Source organism: Homo sapiens, chromosome 6 (assembly GCF_000001405.40).
Source record: "Homo sapiens chromosome 6, GRCh38.p14 Primary Assembly".
Classification (NCBI taxonomy): Eukaryota; Metazoa; Chordata; class Mammalia; order Primates; family Hominidae; genus Homo; species Homo sapiens.
The window spans coordinates 168,341,454-168,349,823 of record NC_000006.12 but is presented as its reverse complement, the minus strand read 5'-3'; the positions used below and the strand labels follow the sequence as shown (position 1 = coordinate 168,349,823).

The 8,370-nt window shown below is 54.0% G+C and overlaps 1 annotated feature.

The window, feature by feature from the left end:
• Positions 1,814–2,314: an enhancer, noted in NCBI's record as "H3K4me1 hESC enhancer chr6:168748190-168748690 (GRCh37/hg19 assembly coordinates)". NCBI's record gives its function as "activates a minimal SCP1, AML or CMV promoter by ChIP-STARR-seq in naive H9 embryonic stem cells {active_cell/tissue: H9 hESC(naive)}" and the evidence as "EXISTENCE:reporter gene assay evidence [ECO:0000049][PMID:30033119]".

Below are 8,370 nucleotides of genomic sequence, written 5' to 3'. Positions count from 1 at the left end.
TTTTACTGTCTATCTGTACCCCATAATATCATGTTGTATACTTTAAATATACACAATACACACACACACACACACATATATATATATACATATATATAATTTTTTTAAAAAAGAAGCATTTGGGTCTAAAATAGGCAGGGTTATCTGGGAACCTGAACCCCTAATGTTTCTCTTCCACTCTCCACTCATCTCCACGCCTGGAGGAACAAATTCTGATGACATCGAGCATCAGAACCCAGCTCAAGCCCAGCATAACTTTGCCCTAAGAAACAATTTTATGGAATTATTCATGAGGATGTACTTGCAGACCAGCTGAGCATAACCTACGTGTCTCTCTCCCTTGGAGGTCTCCATGATAAACGTAGGAGGGACCTTTTCTTTAGGTGAACGTCTGCCTTCTGCAGTGGCTGCCATCTGGGCCCTGGGCTGGAACCCGCCTTGGGTTATTCTCTGTGTAGATCCCTCCTGACAACAAGGGCACGGACCTACACTCCATAAAGGGCAGGCAGCTGCCGTGGTTTCGATCAGCCCTGTTAGAGTGTTTAACTGGGGCTTGCAACAAGAAAAGAAACTTTTTTTTTTCGAGATGGAGTTTCACTCTTGTCACCCAGGCTGGAGTGCAGTGGTGCAATCTCGGCTCACTGCAACCTCCGCCTCAGGTTCAAGCAATTCTCCTGCCTAAGCCTCCCAAGCAGCTGGGATTACAGGCACCCGCCACCACACCCTACTGATTTTTGTATTTTTAGTAGAGATGGGGTTTCACCATGTTGGCCAGGCTGGTCATGAACTCCTGACCTCAGGTGATCCACCCGTCTCGGCCTCCCAAATGCTGGGATTACAGGCGTGAGCCACCATGCCCAGCCAAGAAAAGAAAATTTCCTAGAGTAATTTATCATAGAAGAGACTGATTTACGAGCAAAAATCACTGCAGGCCCAAGTGTGCTGGCAGCATCTAACGGTGCCCGCACCTTCCAGGGTGAGCATAGGGCAGTGCAGCACCTGAGGCTGGCAGCGGGCAGCCTTCCCAGAGGCCTGGCCCAAGCCTGCATCCCTCTCTCCAGACCCGCTCTGCTCTGCACCTGCTTTTCATGCCAGGGTCAGCAAACTGTAGCCCACCAACTGTCCTTGTAGTGTCTGTGAGCTGAGGATAATTTTATATTTCAAAAGATTTGAAAAAATAATCAGCAGAAGGAGAAGACTTCGTGAGGGGAAAATTATATGACAGCTAAATAAACATCCATGTCTAAAGCTTTGAATGTCATCTTGGCTTTCTCTGCTGCCACCTAAGTACCTACATCGTACCCTCAGTTTTACCTCCTGTCCCACAAGGGCTAAAACACTTGCTCCCTGGCCCTTTGTGGGATAAGCTCCGACCCTGCTCTGTGTGGGAGTGACTACGCTTCCCCTGCAGGAGGCTGCTGCCGCCCCATGAGACAGACCCAGGACGAAGTGTTGACTCTCTTAATTCTGGCCTCAGGGCCGTGCTCCAAATCCTGGTCACTTCTTTCTGGGCCAATTCTGAACCGTCCCCATGAGGTGAGGGGGCTGCTTATTTGTGCCATGTTTGCTTATCTTCATGAGCAATGAGTTCACGTTACATGGAAGGGATGGGTGGAGGAGAGGGGCCTGTGAGCTGGGCGGGCGGGTGCCCATGGTCAGGAGAGGGGCCTGTGAGCTGGGCGAGCGAGGAAGGGGCTAGGACAACAGGGTCTCCCCACAGGTGAGCGAGGAAGGGGCTGGGACAGCAGGGTCTCCCCGCAGGTGAGCGAGGAAGGGGCTGGGACAGCAGGGTCTCCCGGCAGGTGAGCGAGGAAGGGGCTGGGACAGCAGGGTCTCCCCGCAGGTGAGCGAGGAAGGGGCTGGGACAGCAGGGTCTCCCCGCAGGTGAGGGAGGAAGGAGGTTCCACCACTTGGGCAACACTCAGCTTAACCAGCGAGTGGAACGCGTGCTTGCAGAGGGCGCCAGGAGACACGTGTAAGCATGTTGAGCAGCATGGTGGTGGGGATGAACGCCCTGCAGGCAAGAGGCCTGGAAGAGCAGCTGTGGCGGGATCACGGAATACGGCACTCTACAGTGAACACGTGGACCAACTGCTCTCCACACATCAGCAAGCACGGACCCGAAACACGGCACTGAGTGAAATAGCAGGTCAAGCTTACAAATAACCACGGCTTCCATTGGTGTTCAAAGGTGGCACTTCTACTAACTCACTAATACAGTCACTTAAGACATACAGATTATGATCATCCATTGAACAGATCAGGAAACTGAGGCTAGGACATCACACCGCCTCTGAGTATCAGAGCTGAGACCGGAAGCCAGGTGCCTGGAGGGCTCTTCACAGCAATGCCATAATCAGAAAAACACAGTGTGATTCCCTTAATATAAAGTTCAAAACCAGACCAAACCACAGATGGGGAAAATGTTTAAAGATAAAATTGGGTGGGTGACAACCCCAGCCCCTGAGTAGTCCCTCCCGCTGTGCGGGACGAGCCTGTGCTCTGGGCGGGTTCTCGGGAGTCTTGCATTTTTAAGCAGGACAGTGGTGTTATGAGTGCTCCTCTTGCTAATTCATACTCTCTAGATGTCTGTGTTCATTCCCCACACTCCTGTACCGAGACCCGCCCAGCCCCAGTAAAGCCTGCTCCATCTCCCTTCAACACTCTGACCCAAACATGGGACTGTGGTCACCCCTCTCTCACCCAGCAGAGCCAAGACAGGGTGACAGCACTGACTCAACAGAGATAAAAAGGTGATGTGGACCTGGGAGTCACCATCAGACAATGTGGCTTCCACAGCAGCTCCTGGAAAGCCTCTCTCATCAGGACCTGGTTCGACCCAGAAGCCTGCACTGTGAACGAGCCTCCCGCTCCATCACCCGCACCCAATGCTCAGGGCCTCCAGGACCAGAATTTGGGAACCACCAATCTAGAAAACGTAGCCCACAGCTAAGCTCTTCCCTTCACACTTTCACCTGCACCCATGCCTTCAGGAATTCAAGTGTTACTGAGCACCTGCCATTGCCTGGCCTCTCTTCTAGGAGAGGTGAGCACAGTATTTATACAGCCTGAATGTGCTGGCTGCAAAGAAAACTGAGCAGGGTGCAGAAGGCCGGGGGCAGGGAGGCCCCAGGCAAGTCCTGGCTGGAAACATGGGCCTGGAATGCACACCCACCGCCTGGAAACCTCAAGGTCCCCACGAGCCAGAGCAACCCAGGGTTTTTCACGTCTCTCCTAGTCTCACCCCCATAAATGCTCCTCCCTGTTGCGGGGTGGGGTCTGGGGACCCCCCTTCCCTGGGGGAATGGCCTCCCTTCCCCGTGCAGGGCTCCCAGGCACCTGGACGTGGCAGTATCCACCAGGTCAACGAACAGCCAGGCAAGAAGCCCTCTGTCCATCTGGCTCCAGAGGATGTGGTTTGTTCCTTCGGCCTCTGAAGCCAGAGTGAGTTTCGGACGGGGTATTCTGGCCCTCTGGGGTCGCGTCCTTCTCTGCATCCCTGACAGCTGCCGGGCATGGACTGGAGCCACAGCAGGACTCACCCAGTCCCCTTGCGCCTCCTCCACACGCTGCTGGTTCCCGTGGAAGTGAATGCGTACACAGGCACCTCTGCATCCGGCTCTAAAGCGCTTGGTGACTCCATGCCCTCCCTCTCCGGCCTGGCTCTGGGGGCTGAGCCTGGGCAGCAGGCGCCCTCCACACCCACACTCCCTCCTCTCCCAAGGGGACCCCTGGCTCCTCATGCTCATAGCTTCCCCTGGCTGCCCCCCAGCTTCCCCCAGCTGTCCCCCGGCTTCCCCCGGCTGCCCCGGCTGCCCCCCGGCTTCCCCCAGCTGTCCCCCGGCTTCCCCCGGCTGCCCCCCGGCTTCCCCCGGCTGTCCCCCAGCTTCCCCCAGCTGTCCCCCGGCTGCCCCCCGGCTTCCCCCGGCTGTCCCCCGGCTTCCCCCGGCTGCCCCCCGGCTTCCCCCGGCTGTCCCCCGGCTTCCCCCGGCTGTCCCCCAGCTTCCCCCAGCTGTCCCCCAGCTGTCCCCCGGCTTCCCCCAGGGGCCCTCCAGTTTCCCCCAGCTGCCCCCCGGCTGCCCCCCAGCTTCCCCCAGCTGCCCCCCGGCTGCCCCCAAGCTTCCCTCGGCTGCCCCGCCGGCCGGGGGGGGCTGTGCTCACTCCTCCCTCAAGGCCCAGCACAGACGTGCAGGGAAGGGGTGAGGTCCTCACCCCAGTGGTCAGTGCCCACGGTGTCCACGCTCAGAGCTTCCCCACAAGCACTGGGACTCAGCCCAGGCTTCTTCCTCCCCCAGGGCGTGAGGGTCCTGAGGGTTCCTGCAGCCCCACCCCCAGGGGAGGCGGCGCAGCCCAGAATGTTCCATGGACAGGACGAGGCGCCCGCGCTGGTGACTGACTCGCTGGACGTCCTGCTTAGGACGCCACGTCGCTGGCATGGGTCTCTCCTCGCCAAGGTTTTCACACAAGCCCAGACCACCCCCTGCAGGGACTGCCCCAGTGGTTCCTGATCCCTACCTCTAAAAATCCGGCCTCACGGAGGGTGCTCTGTAAAGATTTCACTCCCTCCCCTTCTTGCCAGCAGGTTCACACCGCACGCCCCTCTCCCCGCAGGGTGGGAATCAATTCTGCTTTAAAAGACACCTAGGAAAGGGGAGTCCCACAGTCGCAGAGGAGACGTCCTCTGCTGTTGTTTGCAATCGGCTCTCGGCTCCTCCACGGCACCCACCTGCTTGTCTTAGCTCTGCCGTCTCTTCCCACAACAGGTCCAAGTGGGCTCTCGGGGAAGCTTCGCCGACAACCCTGTGTTCTGAGCATGTAGATCCGGCCTCTCCTGGCTGCACAGTTTCTGTCACAGGCTCCTTCTCTGTTTCCACCTGGATTTGTACCCTTTACTTGAGATATTTACTCAACGTGCTAGTCTGCTGCCCGGTATACAGGGAAAATTCAAATGATGGCTGCTGTTATTATTTCTCATTCCATCTAGATTCCAATCCTCTCAGGGACAAAACACTACCCTTTACTATTGTAGCCTGACCCTAATATTGCTAATAATAACTGACATTTATTGAGTGCTGGCAAAGGGGAAGGCCTGTTCTAAGAACTTCATGCATATGAGTCATTAACTCCTTACAACCACTCCATGATGGTCAACACCATTTGGAGACCCAGTGTACAGATATGGAAACTGAGGCACTGAGGGCCTAGCACCCCACAGCCAGGCAGTGCCAGAGCTGGGCTCACAGATGCAGAAACTCAGGCACTGGGGGCTAGGCCCTCACCCAGGCAGTGTCAGAGCTGGGCTCATAGACAGCAAGAGCTACTTAACCTGTTGTTTAATGCCTAGGGCTGTTCATGCTACAATTGTGGGCTCAGCCATTTTGGTTCTTAAAATAATGTGTTTGTATTCTTGGAGACGGAGGAAGAAGATGGCCATATTTAACTGGAACACTTCTCTCCCTGAAGGACCAGCGCTCTACCCAGTTGTATGCAGTTTCCTGGAAATGTAAATTTTCCCACAACTGGTAGGTGTAGCACTAAGCTGTTGGGGCCAGGACTTGCCGTACGTAGAAATGCACAAATCTCTGCTGTTTCTTGTTACTCACGGGAACTCAATCAACAGCTTCGCTACCAGATTAAGCTGCAACAGCGGGAAACACCCTCTGAAGAGCAGCTGCCAGGACCTTGAGATTTTATGTGATTAAGAAAATCGCACTCTCTTTGCTAGGAAGCCTCTGGTGCTTGCACAACACTTTAAGACCAAAACTCATAAATAACATCGGTAGTTTAATTACCCAGGCCAGCCTGAGAAGCTAAATCGCCATCTCCCCACCTCAAGTTCTCAGACATCCGTCAGTGACGCCCAAAGTTAACACGTGGTCTAAATGCATCAAGTTCCTGTTAACACTTTCCACAGGCAAACAAGGGTCCCTTCCTGTGCCCCGGGTTTCTGGTGTTCACCAGGGTGTGCTGGATATAGGATCAGGTGTCTGGCCTTGAAAAGCACCAGGTCTCCAACTGAGGGGCTCTGCAGGGGCAGGTTCTCCGGGCAAGCACATTCGGTCACCTGCAGAGCTGCACGTAGACCAACCATGGAGAGGCTGGCTACACCATGTGGGGAGGGATGGGGAGGGCTGGCACGAGTGACTTTTCATAGTTGCCCTGTAGCTCTCTAACAGGCAGCCAGGGTGAAGGCAAGTGCAGAGGGAGGCTCTCCTTGTGGTGGCCGGAGACCACGCAGGACACCTGGCAAGCACGTTCACGTCAGGCACAGAATCCGCACGTGGTCCTCCCGTCTCCACAGGTGGGCTCCCTGTACCCTTCCTGGTCTCCACCCATCATCCGGTTTTCTCCACAGCGCTTCCCCTTCAGTATGTTAAGGTTGAAAAGGGGTGCGAAGTAAAGAAGTCACCACACCACGTGATCCAGCTTGAGTCTTGCTCTGCTGCAATTTTTATCCTGTGTCTGGGGTGGCAAGTTGGTCCTGCCCCGCTTGCGGAGAACTTTGCAGGCACACAGCACCAGGGTCACTTGAGCCACTGGGAGCTTCCCCTCCTGAGCACAGAACATTAGGAAGCAAGCTGGGGTTCACCTGCAGCGAGCTGTCAGCTGGGGCAGTGGCACTCCCTTTAGGAACCTGTATCAGCGACAAATCAGACCCTTCTCACAGCCACTCACAGCAAGGCTGAAAACACACCTTTTTCCTGAAAAGTCGGTCGATTTCTTAGCATCTGAGATTCTAACTCAGGCCAATTCCTAAAAGACGTATTTCTTCTGACAGAAGAGTAAGTTTTCCTGAGCTGTCAACACTCACAGCAATTCAGGTCCCCCAGGGCACTCCCAAGCCGTCCTTCTGGCTCCTCGCTCCTCACCACAGGCTGCTTCTCCACCAAACACGGAAGGCGTGCGCCCCGCCCGCCCAGAAACAGGACGAGCCTGTCCAGCCAAGGTGCCGTGCCTTTCCATCAATCTGTCACTCCTTACACCTCTTCTGGACACATGCCCAGCAGAGAATTAGTCTCTGAAACCTGCAGACTTCCTGACAAAGAGGAGGTCTTCTGGCTCCGTCCAGGGGAGCCAAGCAGGGCCTGGGTGCCGCCAGGGCGTGTCTGAGCCAAGCAGGGCCCCGGTGCCGCCAGGGCGTGTCTGGACTCAGTGGGTCCTTTGCGCCAACTCATTGGACCCAGGCGTCAATTCAAATGCGTGGCATTAAAATGTGAGGAGAAAATAATAAACCCACATGTCAAGAATGACCCCTTGATCAGGAGGAAAGTGGCCCAAACCACCCGCTAGAGACCCAACTTTCAGAAGGCTTTTTGATGAATGATGAATTTAGGCAGCCGGTGGCACCTGCCAGAGCTCTGCAATCTGATCAATCCGTTCTGAAATCAATCAACAGCAAAGTATTGAGTACTTACTGCAGCCTTCCACAAATGATGTGCTACAAGTGAAGTCCAGGCATGTAGCCACCTTCCAGCACCTTGCAGTTTAATGCGGCACATAAACATAACTCACAGGAAGAAAGGTTTAGAAAATAACCACGCAGATGTTTTCCACCTACATACCAACACACACCGTTACTGTTTTCTAGCAAACGTCCACCGCTCTGCCACCTACAACACTCCCCACTGCCTTAGACACTCTTTCCAAATTAGAAAACAAAACAAAACAGCCAAAGTTGCTGGAGTGAAAATCCAAGCTGAGTATGAGAGTGGACACGAGAGGCTGGAGGCAGTAAGGGTTCATGGGACCGAGTTCTGTTGGGGAAGGTGTACAGGGTCTGGAGGTGGATGGTGGTGATGCTCACACCGCAGTGTGAATGCACTTAATGCCACTGACCTGCACACTTAAAAATGGGTAAGACATTGAATTTTATGTTACATATGTGTTAGCAAAATAAAAATATCTATTAGTTGGAAACAGGGAGAGGATGAGAAATCACAGTTATAATTTTTTGCCAGATAAAGTGATCTCAGTCAATTCATTCGACTGCTGCTAAAGAGAAAAAGCAACAAAATATTATTTCTCTCATTAACAATTTTCTTTTGGAAATTGACATCGAAGTCCTGCTTGTTTCAAATCTTTGGCAATGAAAGAGAAACTGACACACAATTTATTCAGGGACACTCACGAGGTGACCACAGACTTCATGACAACCCAGAATTCCTTCCTTCCATGTTCTAGCTGGACACGCTGCTGACAGAATGTCCCTATGTCTTACTGCACTTACTCAAGCTCAGAGAACCCTCAGTTTCATAAATGGATGCCATCAGTTTCTGGACACATTGCCCAGAAGGCTGAAGGGATCCTACCACTTGCTTGCATTTGGTCTGAGCACCTGGCCTGAGTGCCTGCTTGCTGAGTGCATTCCTG